Source organism: Homo sapiens, chromosome 6, assembly GCF_000001405.40.
Source record: "Homo sapiens chromosome 6, GRCh38.p14 Primary Assembly".
In the NCBI taxonomy this organism is placed as follows: domain Eukaryota; kingdom Metazoa; phylum Chordata; class Mammalia; order Primates; family Hominidae; genus Homo; species Homo sapiens.
Window position 1 is genome coordinate 47,968,191 of NC_000006.12, and position 18,858 is coordinate 47,987,048.

General features: G+C 33.9%; 1 protein-coding gene across 9 annotated transcripts in view, besides 1 other annotated feature; it reads right to left on the reverse strand.

Annotated features, from left to right (window-relative positions):
• The window catches only part of PTCHD4 (patched domain containing 4), a 254,525-nt gene that overhangs the window by 111,518 nt on the left and 124,149 nt on the right, over window positions 1-18,858 (reverse strand). The window lies entirely within an intron of this gene.
• Window positions 5,963-6,257: a silencer, noted in NCBI's record as "tiled region #3755; K562 Repressive non-DNase unmatched - State 24:Quies". NCBI's record gives its function as "represses a minimal TATA promoter and a strong SV40 promoter by Sharpr-MPRA in K562 cells {active_cell/tissue: K562}" and the evidence as "EXISTENCE:reporter gene assay evidence [ECO:0000049][PMID:27701403]".

Here is an 18,858-nt window from a genome sequence, read left to right on the forward strand (position 1 = left end):
AGGAATATGGAGAACCAAGGAGAGTGGGGGAGATGAGGGAAAGGCTGGTCAATGGGGCAGTCAGAACACAGACTATATTTATTGATTAAGTTTGATGTCTTACATGGGTGTGGTTTGTGGTACCTCAAAACAATTACAATAGTAACATCAAAGATCACAAATCACCACAACAGATATAAAATATAAAAATAATTAAAAGTTTTGAAATAGTGCGAGAATTAACAAATTATAACACAGATACATGAAATGAACACGTGCTTTTGGAAAAATGGCACTGATATACTTGCTGGGTGCAGTTGTCACAAACCAGTCTGTAAAAAACAGAACATCTGCTAAGTGTGATGACTTGAAGCACAATAAAACAAGATATGCCTGGATTTGTAAATAAGCCTTTGGCCACTCTCTAGCCTAATGAACTAGGTGCTTTCCTGAATCATTTACTTTTCATACATTCCCTTTCAAATAGTTTGAAAACAGTCTCAAATAGTATTTTTTTAAAAATAATTTTGAGATGGTAGGAAGGTGGACAGGAAAATATGTCTTGGAAACCTCAAAGAAGATAAAGGTCCTCTATAAATACAAACAAGACTCTAAGACTCAGTCAAGGAAAACTTTATAATGAAAATGAGAGAGAAAGAGGAAAATGCTATATGATGATATATTAAAGTGCCCAACCTACTCATTCCAAATAATGGGCTGTACATTATTCACTGATTTCTCTACTTCTTATTCTCAATTTGCAGTAATTTGTTTCTTTGTTAAATTCCTTTATGATTAACTTGCAAAGTCCCTATTAGTAAAAATACAGTTTCTGATATATTGCATAAACTTTATAATAATCCAGAACTATTTATTTCTCATGGTTTGAATTCCACTTGACATTGCTAAAATTCTTGCTTTAAAAAACTTCACTGGCTCTTGAGGAAAACAATACAAAACAGAGAAAGGACTACAACTTAAATGTAGACAAAATTTTTAAAAAATGGAGTTACTGATCATCTATTCATCCCGTAAACTTCAGGATTTCAGCAGTACATTAGGAGCCTGTTTTATTTTCACATACTTGTATTTTCCTCTTGTGTACTCCTACTAGTCACCTGCTTATGGTGACAGAAAACAAATGGGGCAACAAACCTATCAAGCGTGCATTTACTTGTTGAAATCCCTTTTTGCATTCATGGGTTTAGATAATATCTTTTAATATCTAACACCAGCAGGCATCGCCTGAGAAAATCTGAAAAATTATTTGTTGCATTTTTATTGGCTTATCCTTATAAAGATTTTTTAAATTTATACTTCCTACCTATCATATATATGTTCCTATAGAAAGTAAAATTATATTTAAACTCAATAATGAGTAAACTTAAATATTAAAGTGGTATATTACATGGTTCAGGTTAAATTTTGCTGGCATAAAATTCTTTAAAAAATGACCCCCCCCAAAAAATAAAATTGCATAACTATTAGAAGGAAATATTCTTTTAGGGGGCTTGAAGAATTTCTCAGTACTTAATTTTCATTTTACCTCAAGCTGGCATAAATAAAACTTCAGGGCATTTAAAATTCTTAGAAATGAAAATTTCAATTACAGATGGCAGAATACAATTTAGACTCCAGTCTTTTTTCTTGAAATTTACCAATATTGACAGCAAATGAAAATTACAGAAAAAAATTTTACCCTCAATGAAATATGAGCATATCCACAATCCAAATAATAAACTGTGAATCAAATACCGTCAAATATAACCAAAGTAAATAAAGGGGCCAAAAAAGGTGACCCATAACTCTTTTCAAAACCTTAAGGAGGTCGCATTAGTTCCTAAAGGTGAGAGCACAATCTGAGCATATGGATGTAGCTGGGATAAGAGAGAGTTGTTCCCATAAAAGAGACACCTATGGCTACATTTGTTGTTTATGACTTAGTTTTCTTGTAGTCAAAGGAAGCTACAAGAAGAGAAGGGAAAAACAAGAAGAGAAAGGAGATTTCTAATAATACAGAGCATATTGAGCACATGCATTTAAGTCTGCTCCTTTTTGGAGCCCCATGAAGATAATGTAGCTTTCAAAAAAATATAAACGTCATTAAAAAGAAAGTGGAAATAAGAGACAATATTAGATGAACTCTTAACAAAGTGAGGAAATAGAAAGCAGGTGGGAGAGTGGTAATTGACTAAGCATGGGGAAAGATGAAACCTGAGTGCCTGAACAGAAGGATGTCAATAAGAATTCAAGTTGCAGAATCTTAGAAAAATGCAAGAATTTGCGGCAAGCTGGATCTCAGGAGGTAAGGGTGTGAGGCTTGCCTGAGAAGACCAGGCCTGGTTGAAATCTTCTTAAGAGGCAGTTAGACCCATGGGTAGGATGAGGTTTCTACTCTGATGAAATTACTAGAGACCTGTGATTTGCAGGACACGGAGTACAGTGGAGGTCTGAAATGAGAATCTTCCTAAAACTGAAGGTTTTAGAGGAAACACAGTACTGAAGAGTGAGATTCCCTGTCTGATTGCTTTGTTTTTTGTTCCTGTTAACAGATGTATTCCCACTAGGCAGGAAATTGGATTGAGTTTTCTCTAGACAAATGGTTCTTGATTGTGGCCTCAGGCCCAGCAACACCAGTATCACCTGAAACTTATTACAAATGCAAATTTTCAGACTCTGTGCACTGACTGAAAACATCCAAGTGTGGGGCCTAGCAATTTTTGTTTTAACAAGACATCCAAGTGATTCTGAAGCACTCAGGTGTGAATATCAAACTCAAGATTTGAGAACCACTGCTCTAGAAAAACTGATTGGCCCAAGAGATCTGGCGTCAACTACTTCACTCTACCATGAAGGCTGCCAGCCAGTTACACCCAAGCACAAGCACATAGCTTCCAATATGCTTTCAAAATACCAGACACCAAGGGATCACAAGATTTTCGAGGAGAGCCTTGAAGTCGGAACACTGAAACCCAAACAAACAGGAAAAAGGACATAGAGAAAAGCATGACATTGAAAAGAACAGAAAGAACATAAAAACTATAATTGACAGCTTCAGAAAGTTAAGAAAAGAGATTGAATTCATAAAACCAGATCAGACGATTAAAAAAGGAACAATAAGAAACAAGAAAGAGCTCTTTGGAAATTGAAAGTATGATTGCTGAATAAAAAAAAAATCCCTCTAGAAGAGTTATATGTGAAGGTCGTCCAAATTGAAATGGCCCACTGTGCTGTGTACCCAGCAGAAGAATGAAAAAATACCTGCACCAATTCAGAACCTGAAGTTTCAGAACACTAGACTTTAAGAGAGGTGGGAAAGAGTTACCTATAAAGCCTGGGGAATCAAATTGGCACCTGGTACTATAGCAGCTAAACTGTGGAACCTGGGAGATAATGGGTAAATGCCTCCAAATTTCAGAAAGAAGTTTCTAACTGATGTGCAGCCAAATTATCTTTAAGGTGTGAGGATGGAATAAAAACATTTTCAGATGCATGGATCTTAAAAATTTACCTCCTATGCTTCCTTCCTCAGAATGCACTCCATGTAAACAAGAAGACTCAAGATTTAAGAAACAAGGCCACCATCACTGGACATAGAAAAAGAGGATCCTCAGAATCAAATCTATAGGAAATTTCAAGGTAGAAGATACTGCAACAGACTTAGAGAGTGACTAGATGACTGGCTCAAGAGACCAGAGGGCTCCAGGAGTGACTGTTCTGGGAGGAAGAAATGGATTTAACCAATTACTTGACATGGAAACTGAAACTGAATTTGGGAAGAATTAGGGTTATTAACAGAAAAGCAAGACAATTACTAACTTAAGAAAATAAGCTGAGTAGGAAAGAAATGTAATAATAGCCCAGATTTGAAAAAAATATTTACATAGTCATATTAATGTGAGCACTGAACACTGATTTAATAAATGATGGTAAAACAATAATGAGATGATGTAGGGAGAGAAACACACATGGCAGAAGTGGTAAAAGTGGGCTAAATCTTCGCAGTTCATTATAGAAAGTCAATAGATGATGTACAGTTGCTAAATCAATCACAAAACAGCAGAATAATTGTATATGAATTTACTGAAAAAGCTGAACATTGGTGTGGGCTCCATTTAAAGGTAGAACTTAAATTAGGCAAGTGGGAGGATAATGGTTATGTTAGAAAAAGTTACATAATAACTAACAAAGATCAGGAACTGGGAAACGGAGCTATAAAAAAGTATACCAATTTCAAAATATTTTATGATAGGGAAGAAATAGGGTGGCCAGAAAAAGGGAAACAAATATTTTTTAAAACTGTACAATCTCCTAATGTTTTGCATAATCTTATTCCCTTATCCATAGAAATTCTAGAAATGGATAGCCCTCAAATTTTTTGAACATTGTATAAAGTTTAGCAAAGTCTTTTAGCTTCAAAAATTCTTTTGCTTTTTAAAAATTTTAAGTAAATATCATATAATTATTTAAATAAAATTTAATATGCTCTGTATCAATCTATCACCTATCTTATATATCTAAACCATTTATCCATCTATCTTTTTGTCTGCATATGTACTAATTGAGCAACATCTAGAATGAGCTTCACCTAATGTTAATGATGATGCTTCTAAGTGATGAGACTTGGAATTATTTTTTACACTTGTCTTTTTACTTTTTGTATTGATTAGAATTGTTTAATAATAATTATATTCATATTAAAGTATCTTTAGAGTCTTGAAATTGAAGACTTATTTTTGAATGAATTTTATGGCTTGCAAGTTGAATGATGTCATTCACCCTTTATCATGCTTCTATATTATAATCTCTCATTATGTTTTTAGTACTCTTAGAATTAAACTATTTGTTTCATGTTCCTCGTTTCCTCATTTATTATTTTTTCTTCATGTACACATCACTACATTATATTTCTTATTCCTATGAGTCAGAAATGTGTGCTTAACTTATACCATTATGTATATATTTCACATTTGAAAGAGACACAAACAGAATGGCCACATATTTTGCAATGGATATTTTACTATAATTAATTTTCTTGAACAAAGATACATGTGTATGTGTTTCATTATTTAATTCTTAAACCTTTAAGAAGAATTATTGTGAAATGCCAAAATTTGGTTCATACCTAAGATTTTCTGTTTCCCTTGAAAACATTCAAACAAGTACCCAAACAACAAGGAAAAGAAGCTTTCACTTACTTTTACTTAATGGAGTCTAAGAAGATAAGCTCCACCTTCACCAACAAAAATGACAATAAAAACAATGCTACAGTGATTGTAGCTGGAGATATAATCAAGGCACTGTTGAAACAACTTAACAACCGGGAACCTGTGAATCAGAGCAGAAGCTGCTGGAGCCAGACGGCACCAACAGGGGCAGGCATTTACCTCGTAGTTGCTGGATTGTGGGCAGTTGGAGAAAGGTGTGCAGTGGGGCTGGGTCAACAGGGATAATTCTGCACATTCAGGAGGTTTAGGGCAGTAGCTGTATATCTATAAGTATGGAAGTATTTTAGTACTTTAACCACTACTAGTGGTTAACTGCAGCCAGTACTGTTGCCAACGATGAAGACCAACCTTGGTTATAGTATCTTACGTTTATACAGTTAGAATTTACATACAAATTCAATCCTAAAGAACAAAGTGAAGTTAAAGCCATGCTCTTGCAAATCACTGCTTGAAATCCTACCATTATTAATCAATTACTTTGGGTTAAGCATATACCATCCTTTTAAAAATGAAAATCCAGTTATCAAGTAGTAACATCAAAGCTATTGCCAGCAATTGCCACTGATGTGAGTCTCTCTCAAGTGTTAAGAACAGGACACCCAGAGAAAGGCAATTTTGAAAGAGTAGGTGACGACGGGCAATACAATTAATTGGGCCCTTTATGTATGAGCTGACTGCACATGAAGAGAAGACATAAAGAAGAAGACGGGAATGAGTACAAATAATGAGGGATAAGTCAGGAGAAATGCCATAGACAACAATTTTCTACTTGTTAATTTTTCCCAGGCTTCATTCTGCAAAGAAAACAAGAGAAAAGTTGGCTCTAATATTTCATCTCATTTTAGCAGCAGGGAAATGGCTAACCTTTCGTATGTCCTTTGTCCCAGAGCCAAACTCCATTTTCTCCTTCATGCTTCCTAATGTATTTTGTTCTATTACGGAGCCAAATACATTCATTGTAATTAAACATGGACTTTGAGAGCTAGAAGTGTTTTAAGAGTTCAAAGATAAAACCATCTTTTGATGGTCTGTGCCAAATAAGCACAAACCCTGATTTCTGAAAATCCATGATTTCTCAACCTTAACAATACTGACATTTGGAGCTGGGTTTTTGTTGTTGTGGGGGGGGCTGTCCTGTGCATTGTAGTATGTTTAAAGCATTCTTGGTCTCTACCCACCAGATGTCTGTAGAATTCCTCCTGTCCCAACAATCAAAAATGTTTTCAGGCATTGCTAAATATCCCCTGGGAGGCAAAATTGCCCCTGGTTGAGAATGCTGTACGAATATAAGAAAAATATTTGATTTTGGAAGGCATAGCATTGTTATTTCTTGCTGATTTTCATTCTTAATTGTGTTTAACATATGCTAATATTAACACTGATTTTTATTTGCTGACCACAAATTATTGGCAAGCAAGGAAGTTGGACAATAGATACAAAAATATCAGCCAGAAACCAATCTGGAGTTGAAAACGTCTCACATTAAACTGTAATTTATAATCAAACTATAGCAGCATCATCATCATTCATTCATTTATTTTCATTCAATGACTGTTTATTTACTAGGAACCCTCCTACGTACTGGAGATTCCATGGTAAAACAAACAAACAAACAAACAAAACAAAACAGTTGACTCATCTCCTCTGGGAAGCCTTCTTCACCTCCAAGGCTGGGTTGGGCTTCCTCACTGGAACTCCTTAAAAATTATCTCCTTATCTCATCATGGCCTTTAAGCTTCATTGTGATTGTTTGCATCTTGAAGTTATAGCACGTGCTTTGTTCATCATCATATACCCGGTGAGTAGCATCACATACTGGCTGCTCAATGTATAGTTATTGAATAAGTAAATGAATGACTAATCCACTTGAAAAATGCTTCCTGTCATGGATTCTAAAATTTATGATGCATTCTGGCTGAAGCAGGTGTTTATTCAAATACCAAGGTATCCCTTTATTGTTTCTCGGCATCTGTTTTCCTAATCTTCTTTTTTTTACATTTTTTAAAAAAATTATATTTTACTTTAAGTTCCAGGATACATGTGTAGAACGTGCAGGTCTGTTACATAGGACAATGTGTGGCATGGTGGTTTGCCACACCTATCAACCCTAACCTTCTTGGTTCATGGATTTTTCAACTAGAAGTTTGCTAGCTACTAATCTTGTCTTGCATTGTAAGATTGATTTTGAGAGCCACTTCTTCACCAATAATTACTCTGTCTTCCTTCCCCCATGCATCCACGTGTCACTACTGCACCCACCTGCGCCTCTTCCTGACTGTGCTATTACTTTAATTCTTTAGTAAATCTAGTAATATTTCTTTAGCACCTATTAATCAGCTTGGCATTGTAGTTAGCACTCTGCATATAAAGATGAACAGGGAAGCTCTTGCCCTTGGAAAGTGCATAGTGTGCTTCTTCAACTTTACAGACACTTTCTAGGCCATTTGTACATAAGGTAAGTGTCAAAAGAGATGGGTCATATTTTTGAGATGGGTTCTTAAACAAGTGTTCCACTTATCTATGCTTTGATCCCATTTCTGCCCCTTTTGAACATCATTTCAGCTCTCAGATGTTTCATCTGTCTTGTCCTTTCTGGTTGGCAATACCTTTTTCGAGCATTTATGGACTACTTCATTCTTCAATTGCTTATGTTTTCTGCTTTGGTAAAGCACTTCCTGAAACTGCTATGCCATTGATGTTGTTCACTCAGCTTGTTGCTGGAGCCCCAAAACCCTTGAAAAGCCCTCATTAGGTATGATTTAGCAGCTAGAAAATCAATACTTCCCTGTCTGTCTTTCAAGAATGGGGTCAAATGCACAACTTTATCTTTCCAGAGAGAAAGAATGAATTCCTTAGTCTTCTCAGCATCCTTTTCTCATAGGGGGAATAAATTATCCTATCTGCTGAAAGTCTGCTAAAATCTCAATGCAGCAATATTTCCAGAGGCATTTACGTTACAGAAATATATAATTACTGGCCAGGCGCTGTGGCTCATGCCTGTAATCCCAGCACTTTGGGAGGGCAAAGCAGGTGGATGATGAGGTCAGGAGTTCCAGACCAGCCTGGTCAACACGGTGAAACCCCCATCTCTACTAAAAATACAAAAATTAGCCAGGTGTGGTGGCGTGCACCTGTAATCCCAGTTACTTGGGTGGCTGAGGCAGGAGAATTGCTTGAACCTGGGAGGCAGAGGTTGAAGTGAGCCAAGATTGCACCACTTTACTCCAGCCTGGGCCACAAGAGCGGGACTCCATATCAAAATAAATAAATAAATAAATAAATAAATAAATAAATAAATAAAAATATAATTACAAAGCCACAATTCAAAGAATATGTCCCTCTTAAAAATGGGAAAGAATATAAATAGATAATTTACAGAAGAAAAATTTATATTATCAATATGGATATTTTAAAAGTTCAGCATCAACAATAAGAATATATAAATTTAAATGAAAATGCAATGTTTCATGATTTTCAAGTTATCATCAGTTATTAAGATGAAATTTTTAAGGATTGGTGAGGGTTTGAGGAAATAGACACTGTCATTCCCTGCTGAGAAGATAAAGTAACATAACTTTATCGAAAAGTAATTCGAGGATGTTATTAAAAGAGCATGTATTCTGTGGCTTAGCAATTTCACTTTTGGGAGTTTATCATAAGGGAATAATTAGAGAGGTGAGTAAAACTGTATGCTCACCTCTCTAATTGTGTACTCTGTTTTACCAATGAAGAAACAGAGTTATACAGAAGTTAAGTAATGGTTATATATAAGGTGAGCAGGCTTTCAAGGTGACTCTCAATGATCCACACCTCCTAGTATTTATTCTCTTTTGTAATCCACTGCCCTTGAGAGTGAGCTAGACTTAGTGACTCACTTCTAATAAATAAGAATCAGCAAAAGTGGTGGAATCTCACTTCTGTGATTAGCTTACAAAAAGCTGTGACTTCCTTCCATCTTGCTTGTAAATTCTCTTGAGGGCTTTGATGAAGCAAGTTGGCATCTTGAAGAGTTCTCTGTGACAAGGAATTAAGGATAAGTTCTGGTCAACAGCTCATGAGGAGTTGAGATCCTCACTCCAACAGCCTGCAAGGAACTGAACCCTGTCAACAACCACTGAGTGAGCTTGGAAAGGATCCTGCCCCAGTTGAAATTTGATTCCAGCCTTGTGAGAGATCCTGAAACAGAGGACTCATTATGGCCATGCCCAGGTTCCTAATCTCTAGAAACTTTAGATTATAATTGCTATTGTTTTATGCAAGTAAATCATAGGATAATTTGTTATGCTGCAATAGATAGCTAAAACATATATATTTATAAAATAATTAAAGTATTTCTTCTGACAATAAAAGAATGACATTTTTCAACTTTGTTTTATTCCATATCTTGAAGTTTTTCCATAAATAGCACACTCTATTTATACAATCAGAAAAATGACATTAAAAGACAAAAGAAAGTGTAGATAAATCAACAAAAATCTATTTCTTTTAGTGGATTAATTTTAGAATTTCCGTGCCCTCTCGACTAACATGTTGAAGCCCATGAAGGTAAAATTGCTTTAGCCTGACAGCTCCAGGAAGACTCAATCCTGTGACCTAGGAAACTTCCAACTCTAGTCGTTCCTTAAGTAATGAACTTATTGATAGAAATAGAAACAGGGAAATTAGCAAATAATCCTTACTGCTTCCCTACTCCTCTCCCTCATCCTTTCCCCCCTTCTCATTATTTTTCTTCTCCTCCTTTACTTCTTCTTCCTCTTCCTCCTTCTCTTGATTCTTTTAGGATTTCCTTTTGTTTGTAGAGTCTCCTTCTTACTTCACTCTGAGATTTAGTGTCCTTCTGATTCTTTCCATTTCTCCTAATATTAGTCCAACACTACTACTATTACTGCTACTCACAGTTCTTACTCTACCATTATTCCTCACACCAGTTTATTACAGAGCACTACTAAACTACCAAGAGGCGGTATGAGTTAGAGGTCTGGAGAGCTCTGCTTCAGTGTGAAACTTGCTCTATCACTTAGTGTATATTCTGGAAAAATAATTAAAGCTCTCTATATCTTAGTTTCATAATATAAAAATTGAGATAATAATAGTTTCTACCTCATAGTTTTTGTGAGTATTAAATGTGTTAATTCGCTTAGAATAGACATAAGAACTAAGTTATACGTTTCTAATTATGATAAGAATTGCTATCAGTTATTTCATTCTTCCTATGTTCCAGGTATTACATTAAGCACTTTACATAAGTTTTCTCATTTATTCTGCACAATAACTCTATGAGACAGATCTTACTATCCCAGTGATGGTTAAGCAAACAGGTCAATAAAAGTTAAGTAACTTGTCTACCAACAGAATAATGGGAGAGTAAAGTCAGGATTCAAAACTGAATTTTTCCATGTTTCTTCAAATGTGGGACATATACCACTGGTGAAAAGATTTCAGAAAGTACACAGACTCATCCTCTGTTCCTTGTGTTATATCAAGATTCTATTAAACTTAGAAATAACCAGAATGAATATTCTATTCATTTTTGTTATGAATATTCTATTCATTCTTGTTATGAATATTCTATTTATTCTTATGCTTTCATTGAAATATTGAGTTCATAGACATAAAAAAAACTCTTAATGAATAACAGTTAAAAATTTTATCACCTGGTGAAAGAAGCCTTCTACCAAAGCTTACCACGTGAGTCTATTTCTATGAAGTTCTAGAAAAGGCAAAACTAATCAATGGTGACATATAGTCTGAACAGTGGTTACATTTGAGGGATGGTTGTGGGGATAGGGATTCACTGAAAAGGTGCAGAAAGGAACATCCTGGGATGACGGAGTGTTTTATATCTTGATGAGGTTTGAGTTACAAAGGTATGTATTTTTATAAAAAGTCAATGAGTGACACAATTAAGACTTGTGCATTTATTGTATATAAATTTTACATAAATGAAAAAAGAACTAAACAAATATTGAACTCTAGTAAATGACATGCACACGGATGTGTATGGGGTGAAAGTTAAAATGGATAAAAAATAAGATGGTTGATCAATAGATAGAGGATGAATAGATGAATAGCTATGTGATAAAAAAGTGTAGTCAATGTTGATTGTAAAATCTAAATGGTAGATACAATTCTTTCAGCTTTTTTGGTTATGTTTTAAATTATTTATAATAACATGTAGGAAAAATTAAGCTCTTAAATGACAGAAATTTGCTGATTATTTATTAGCAAGCAAACAAATCATGTTAATTAGATATTTATGTCTAATATTAATATTCAATTAGTACCTAATATCCAATTTGATATGCCATACTTTTAAATCTGTGTTTGATTTCCCAGGTACCCATATATCAGATAAAATTGAATTAAAAATTTGGAGAGGAGAATACTATCCTTAGGTAAAGCACTATAGAGATCTGAAATCTTCTAAGTTCATATTTCCTGCAAGTTCATAAAATTGACCACTGCTCATTCATATAGTTCTTTTTGCTGTATTTTTGATGGCCATAGAACAAGTGCATTTTTACTTACTAAATCTGCTCTACTTGGAAAGCAATACTGCTTTTAAAAGCAACAATCTTATTTCTAATGAATTTTAAAATAAACCATATTTTTAGCATTCATCAAAATGGACACACCAATATACCTTGACACCTCTAGGACTTGACAAACAAGAATATTTGTTTATATTCAATTTATTTCATGCATAGAGTAAAAAGTATTTCCCTGCAATAACTTTAAAATCAAACACACTTTTTTAAGCATGGAAGAGAAATGATTCTATTTTTATGTATAAGAAAACTAAAACCTGAAGGAAGAAGATTTCCCAGAGTTCTTATATAACAAGGGTAAATTCATGCACTTTAGGCCACAAAACCCACATTTTTATATTCATTTGTTTATATGCTACAATTTTTATTTAGTCATGGAAAAATCTACTCCACGTTGTACTTGGATAGTTTCACTCATTGCTTCTTCATACCTTTCTTCTTTCTCTGTGTTGTTAATCTAAAGTTTTTCCGTTCTTATCGTTTGGTTCTCTGTAGCTGTCTTCTTATGTAAAACCTTGAAAATTCCCTCTATCCTTCCATAGATTTTCAAAGAAATGGATTTTGATTATATAAGTGATGTTTTCAAATCACGTTTTATATACATTTGTCTAATATCAATGATAGTTATTGAATTCTGTTGATAACTTCAATGTTATCACATCCTTTTCTTTAAATAAGTTCCTCAAAATAAATGATTAAACTTTGCATGAAATTTTATTTATAATGATAAAGTTTCAAAGTAATTATTTTAAATGAAAATAATTAAAAGTTATGAAAAATTAAAAGAATATAACTTTTTTTAACTTCATGTTTCAACACTAAGCACTACCTATATATTCCCTACTGTGAAAGACAAGTGATACACTGTTTTTTCTCCTCCCCAAATTTGTCAAATAAATATATATATATTTAACATTTTAATATTTATAATAGTTGCATTCTGTTTTATATCTGTAATTCTCAGAATTGAAGACTTTGTTTCTGTATGTAAGTAGCTTTATCATGTTTACTCCATTGGAGTTTTTATTTTGATTCTTCTTTTTATGACTGCATCTTGCAAAGGAGTTTCTTTTTCAGGAAAGGGTCATGTGTGCTGTATTCCCGTAGTAGTTACTGCAAGCAGGAGATCACCTGTCTTTAGCCTTCATGCTTGAACAACAACTTGGGTAATGATGAATATTTTATGCCTATTCCATATTTCTATTTTTTCTTCAGAATCACATTTTATCACTATGTTGATGCCTTTGTCTCCATCTTAATCATCTCTTCTCTAATTGCTTTCCTATTTTTGTTCTTTTTGTTTCATTTTGTGCAATTTCCTCAAGTCTCTCCTGCATGTTTCTAAATATGTTTTCGCTCTTGTTTATTTTGTATTTTGTTGCTTCCAAAGCAGCTCACTTCTCTAATAAAGCCTTTATTTTTTCTTTCTATTTTTTTTCTGAGTTCTGCCAGCTTGTTTTTCCTCTCTTTTTGCTGTCTCTTCAGTTTTTCTGTTTGCTTTGTGGTCATTTTTCACATTTTTGTAACCCCTAGAGGCGTCATGGTGTTTGTATTTTTATGGAACATGCATTGAGATTTTTTCTATTTTTAGGGAAAATTGAAAAATCTGATCTTTTGGTAGAATTTTATCAGCTGTATTTTGCTTATGTTCTTTTCTTAATTTTGTGTGCTAGTGCCTCTCTTTACTAAATAGAGGCAATGTTATCTGGGGTAGCTGTTTGCTGAACCCTCAGGAGCTGGTTGCAGAAGTGAGGTGGGCTTGCCCTCAAGCAGTCTTAAAATCTCCCTCACTAAATCTGCTTGTTACTCTATTCTGTGCATCTTCTCTTGGCTTTTGACATTCAGGAGGACACAAATGGTTTGTGGAGACCCTTCTTAAGTGGCAGTTCCCTAGATTAGGAGATACTCCATACCGCTGCATTTCCAGTTGTCATCCAGGCTCATTTTTGTGAGGAAAGATTACTCCTGTTTTGCTCAACTTTTCCTAACGTTTTATGGTAGTAGATAAGGCTCTCTTGGGACATTCCTCTGACTCTCCCAAGACTTGCCACGACTTCTGCATCTCATCCCTCTGTTAAAAAGATGGTGTGCACACTTCTCAGAATTGTGACATTTAACTGTCAAAATATCTCCAGCCTGACATAAATCTAAGGAGATGGATATATGTTGATTTCTTTCATCTCTCATCTTAGTCCAGTACAGTAGGTATTCACAATTTATAGTTTGGGGTTGTGACTCTTTCTCTGCTTGCTTTCTGTACTTTGTAAAGGAGGGGAGCTATTAAAAATATCCATAGCAGCATGTTTAATTAGAAGCATTGTTTACCTGTTAGGCTGATATCAAGTCCCATCTCCCTTTGGATTTTCTCCAACAAATCTATCACAATCTGCTCTTTTTCTCTGGGCCCTTCACGGTGCTTAATATTTTATCTCTGTGCCTGTCATGTCCTAAACAGTCCTTATTTGTTCATATGTGTAAAAATGAAAACTTAACCTCAACAAATGAAGGTGTCACACTAGTCTGTTTTATCTCTCTCTTTTTTTTTTTTTTTTTTGTTTTTTGAGATGGAGTCTCGCTCAGTCGCCCAGGCTGGAGTGCAGTGGCGCGATCTCAGCTCACTGCAGGCTCCGCCTCCCGGGTTCACGCCATTCTCCTGCCTCAGCCTCCCGAGTAGCTGGGACTACAGGCGCCCGCCACCAGGCCGGCTAATTTTTTGTATTTTCAGTAGAGACGGGGTTTCACCGTGTTAGCCAGGATGGTCTCCATCTCCTGACCTCGTGATCCGCCCGTCTCGGCCTCCCAAAGTGCTGGGATTAAAGGCATGAGCCACCGCACCCAGCCGTCTGTTTTATCTCTTTAGCCCCTCTACCTAGCACAACACCTAGCAGATAATAGGTGCTCAATAAGAATTTTGAATGAAGTAATGAATTAACTTATGAATATAGTACAAGATGACTTCCAAACAAGATTATTTTGGAGGGCATCCAGTGTATACCAAGATAAATAACGTTGAAATTTTTTAAAAGGCTATGAAATCATATATATTATGTACATGACAAAGCAGAAAGTAAATAAGCCCTAAATACCTTCAGAAATTAATTGAATTAAAGAGATAATGGAGATACTGTTGGAGGATTACTTATGTTGATTACATATTTCTGCAAGTTAGGGTAAAATTAAAAATAGACATCAAAAAGTCAAATAAATGTCAAGCTGAAGGGAAGAAAACTATGTTGGAGATAAAATGGAGGAAAGAAAGAAAATTGTTTGGGTACTAAAGTATATGAGGGATTTTTGTTGCTTTTTTTTGTTCCTGCAGTAGAAAAATGAATTTCACCATATTAAAAAGTATGATCTAAAAAGTTTTAATGGTGCCTTGTAATGCCAATGTTGAATTTATGCAGGGTTCAAACTATGTTTTTGAATTTCACAAGACAAACGTTTAGTTCTCAGTGGTTTAAATGTTTCACTTTCTTACTGTTCAGACAAACATTCTGAGAACATTTTAAAGGCATGACATTAAAACAGTTTTGAAAAAAAGATTGTTTTTTCTATTTAGGAAGGTACATTTGGTATTTCAAGATTTGAAGGGCAAATAACTAAGATTTCCAAGTTTAGTTTTTTATAGTGCAACCATATGACAAAACTCAGTCTTTGTGTGTAAAAGGATAAAATGATGGTAAATGCCTAACCTAAAGTTACCTTAACATACTTGGGGAGAATAAAGAAGATAGTAAATTACCGATGACCTTAGCAAAATATGCGAACAGTTGAAACACTTATGAAGTTCAAATTCTAAAAACCTCTAAATATTATGATAGTCTAGGCTAATCTGTCAGTCCAGTGTTAGAACCCAGTAAAACAGGATAATTCTAGATTGTTGCATTTGCAAAGTACTATGAATCATAAATATCAAACATTTGTCAGTAAACCAAATGGTATTTAACCCAATCTTATGTAAATTCATGACAATATTACATATGTAATATTTAAACAAAAATAATAACATATTTCATTCCCATTGTAATACAGTATATTTAAATAAACTGTATTAGAAATAATATGCTGTAAATGCTTTGTGACAAACATCATCAATAAGTGTTTTATTAGAAATATATTTGCATTAGTAATGCTTCTATATAAATAAGTATATTTATAAATTGGCAATTATTGATTTCATAATCATTTAAACTAAAAACAATTCAAGGATTCTCTATTTTGCTAGACATTAAACCAAATCTAATGTATTAGTATGTTCTCACACTGCTATAAAGATACTACCTGAAACTGGGTAATTTATAAAGGAAAGAGGTTTAATTGACTCACAGTTCCTCATGGCTGGGTGGGACTTAGGAAACTTACAATCATGGCAGAAGGGGAAGCAGGCACATCTTGCATGGTGACAGGAGAGAGGAGAGCAAGCATGTGCATGGAATACTGCCTTATAAAACCATCAGATCTCATGAGAACTCAATCAATGTCACCAGAACGTCATGGGGGAAACCACCCCCATGATTCATTTACCTCCCATCAGGTCCCTCCCTAGACATATGGGGATTAAAATTCAGATTACAATTGTCAATGAGATTTGGGTGATGACACAGCCAAACCATATCATCTTAATACAATGATTTATTGGTGATTGCATTAAAAATGATTCTTTTAAATAAGAAAGCCTCTATTTCATATAAAGGTTCAGTGCAGATAAATAAATACTTGGAGAATATCTAAATATACCCATGGGCACAGTTTCAGAAGATAATGCCCCAGAAAGAAAAATAAATATTAATATTATAAAACTATAAATATGGTTTAATTAATTTAATGTTCAGGTAATTTGTCATAATTGCACTTATGATCTAAAATAAAATAAATTTGAATGTAATATAACTTGGCTAGGAGAAATCCAAAGGTACAAAAAGCAATTAGGTAGTTTATAAGTCAAGATTTTATGTAAATCTTGAAGACAAACTTTTATTTCTTCTATTTATTAAGATTTTTCTGTGTGACTTTATAATGAGTATAAAGTTAGCTCAGTTCTCTGCAGTGAAATGCATTGGGAATTCCAAATATGGGAATTTCAAATATAATTATGACCATTCCAACAAATTTTCATTTACTTATGAGAACTGATTTTTATGCATCAAACTTAATATATCTTTTCATATGATTCCTTGGAATTATTCTAAGAAGCTAACTTCTTACTGACTCCTGCTTTCTCTATGTATAGCTTCCATTCTTACTACTCTTTTAAGCTGACATAGTTGAATAAAAATCATCATGCTGATAGAATTGATTCTCTATGCCTTAAATAAATATTGAAAAAAAAGGCCACACAGCACAAAATGAAGAATATGCTAAAACTGATAAGTGGTACAAGGACAAATTTTAGGACACAGATGCAATTTTATGAAGTAGCTAGCTAGGATAATCTAATATTTTCAGATGGTAATAAAATTATTTGCAGTAGCAAAGCATATACATAGACAGCAAGAAAGTGTATGAAAGTCATTTATATAGACTTAAAATATTTTTAACATTGCTAGTTGGAAATATGTAAAAAAGTAGAACAATTTATGATATAACTATTCCTATTTAATTTTCCTGTTTTAGAAAAAAACTCCTTCATTTAGTGGATGATGAAAGAACTAGTTTTAATTAAATAAAATTCATGCCGATTCAATTGCTATTTGTATTATATATCCATATTCAGATAATTTTTTATTGCCATGCCCTATTTTTCACTGTTCATTTAAGGAAAGAAAGGTTGTCATTTCAGCATAAAGATTTTCATTTAAATGCATTCCTTTTTTTTTTCAATATCCATGGAATGTGCATTTTGAGGAAAGCTTGTGGTGGTATGATCTTATATTGAAGTAAATTTTTCTTTTTAAAATTTTGTTTGCTCTTTTTGACTTGTTTGGTTTTTCAACATCTAAATTATTTTTGAATAGAGACCAAAGCAGATCTGCTTCATGAAAAATTTCAGCCTATATTGAACTGAGTAATTGTCTATGTAAGCATATATATTAATAGTATTGATATAATATATTAATACAATATCATTACGTATGAAATTTATCCCTTTTATGATATAAGAAGTATGTCTGAGGTTTTAGAAAATCTGTAGACAGTATGACCCCTGTTTGTAGAACTTTTGTCTAAATGAATAGCTATTTATAAACATATGGAGGGATAATGTGCTTAGTAGAAGAACTTAGATGGAGCTCTTGTGTTTGTATTCTAGCTTTATTGCATGCTATCTGATATGACCTTCAGCCAATTATTAAAATTATCTATGTATCATTGTCCTTATTTATGACAATCATTCTTATATTTTGGATTATTGGGAGAATTAAGTCATTTAACACCTGGTAAGTGTTCATCACTGGGACATTATAAATGCTCAATATATTTTAGTTATTATTACATCTTCATTGTTAGTTACTCTGGCTCCTTAACCACAAGATCTTGGATAGGTGGTATACTTACAAAAATTAAATTTGAATGCTTTTAAGTAGCATATATATTCTCCAGCGTACAAATCCCAACATTCCCTATTGTCAGGACAATATGTTGGTAGCCTGCCTCCTGAGGTATTAGTTAAGAATCTTTTGATATGGAGATATATGTGACTGCTTCTACCTGTCTTCAACTGCTTTATAAGAGATTCTTTATATCTTACTGTCATCAAGTCATTGAATCTATTCTGCCTAGTGGAGCTGTATTACATTTTCTATCTATTTGGTCTAATCAAGCTCCTCCCCAGAGTACTTCAAATAATATTTTTGAACAGTAAATTGTAAGAATCACCATGAATATCATTTCTTTCTTCTCCCATAATGTGCATACATCAAGTTGTAGAATAAGGTTACCAGTGATATAGTCTGCTTTGTATCCACTCAACATTCCAATCATGGGTATGCCACTGCCAGGGGAAATACCTGCTTGATATCACACGCAACAGTGGTGTGTTGCAGCGTCATACTCTGGATAAAGTCAATTTGCTGCATCTTGTATTTTGAAACTTCTCATGGTGGCAAAACCTTTTTTTTGAGAAGGAGATACCAGGGTATTAAAAAATGTAATAATTGATCTACAGT